Below are 1254 nucleotides of genomic sequence, written 5' to 3' on the forward strand. Positions count from 1 at the left end.
TTGGTCAAGTGTGTTATAAATGTATAACAGAAACCCTCAGAATATATAAGGAACAAGGACAACTACAGGTTTAAAGGATTTGTTGCGTGAATTACATGGTGCCTTAATAAACACTTGGAGACAGAATTCCCGTCCTATTCCCACTATCACTGGAAGTATGGGATGAACCTGTGCTTTCTGGTGAGGGCTCCTCATTTCTTCATTAAGTGGGGCAGGGAGATGGGACAGGCAACGTATTGCCAGAAAACTGAAGGCCATCTGCATGAAATGTCAGCCAAGCAACCAGATGTTTGATTGGATTGGCTCCCACATCCGGCTTCTTGATCGAATTCCTCCTCTTTCCACCCAGATGTTTTAGAAACACAGAGAACTTCATGAAGCTTGTTCCGGGCCCGCAGAGGAAGGGGCGGTAATATTTTGGTGTCCTGCAGGGGGCGAAGTTACCTCTAATTTTATCAAGTCGGTTCATACATTCCAGCGGACTTCAAAGCCCAGATCTGCTCCTGTCCCTCCAACTCCACCCACCCCATGCCTCCTCCTCTTGAATCACATGTGGACGTTGTCTAGCTCCCTGTCCTGAGGCTTCCAGGGGAGCACTCGGGCTGTCTAATGGGGAAGGGTCCCAGAAGCAGGGAGTAGACAAGGTGGGGGTTAGGGGATTTTTATCCACCTAGAGGTCCAACTGGCTTGGAGAAAGAGTAGTCCCAATTTCAAGGTTATTAAAATCCTAGAACTGTATCTCTTCCTGTCCCCTTTGTCCCAATGGATACAAGGGCTTGCCTGCATGTGTCCCGCAAACATGATGTGCACATGTTGGGAGCCATAGTGGACAGAAGAGGAGCACATCCTCAGTTGGATGTCACTGTCCTTATGATCATTGTAATGTCTCACTGCACAGTTTTTTTAGGAGCTTCTTCTGGCTCTTAAGGGAGATGTGCGTTCTCATGTTCATCACCTGGAGGTACTCTCGACACCTCCTCATTCTAGCCCCATTCGACAGAAACTGAGAATCCATCTTGGTGGAGTGAGGAGCCTGCAACAGACCTGAATCAGAGTTGCTGCTCAGATGTTTAGTTGATAGTCACTTTAGACTCATGTCACATGAACCCATCTACTTCTTAGTGTCTAAGGAAAGGGAGAGATGGCGTGCGTGTGTGTGCATGTGTGTGTGTGTCTTCTGCACTAGGTCCACCCCATAGATGCATACACAAGTTGAGTATCCCTTATCCAAAGTGCTTGGGACCAGAAGTATTT

At 47.5% G+C, this 1254-nt stretch overlaps 1 annotated feature.

Annotated features, from left to right (window-relative positions):
* Nucleotides 511–570: an enhancer, noted in NCBI's record as "active region_23951". NCBI's record gives its function as "activates an Ori minimal core promoter by ATAC-STARR-seq in GM12878 lymphoblastoid cells {active_cell/tissue: GM12878}" and the evidence as "EXISTENCE:reporter gene assay evidence [ECO:0000049][PMID:35858748]".

This window comes from Homo sapiens, chromosome 6, assembly GCF_000001405.40.
Source record: "Homo sapiens chromosome 6, GRCh38.p14 Primary Assembly".
Lineage (NCBI taxonomy): Eukaryota > Metazoa > Chordata > Mammalia > Primates > Hominidae > Homo > Homo sapiens.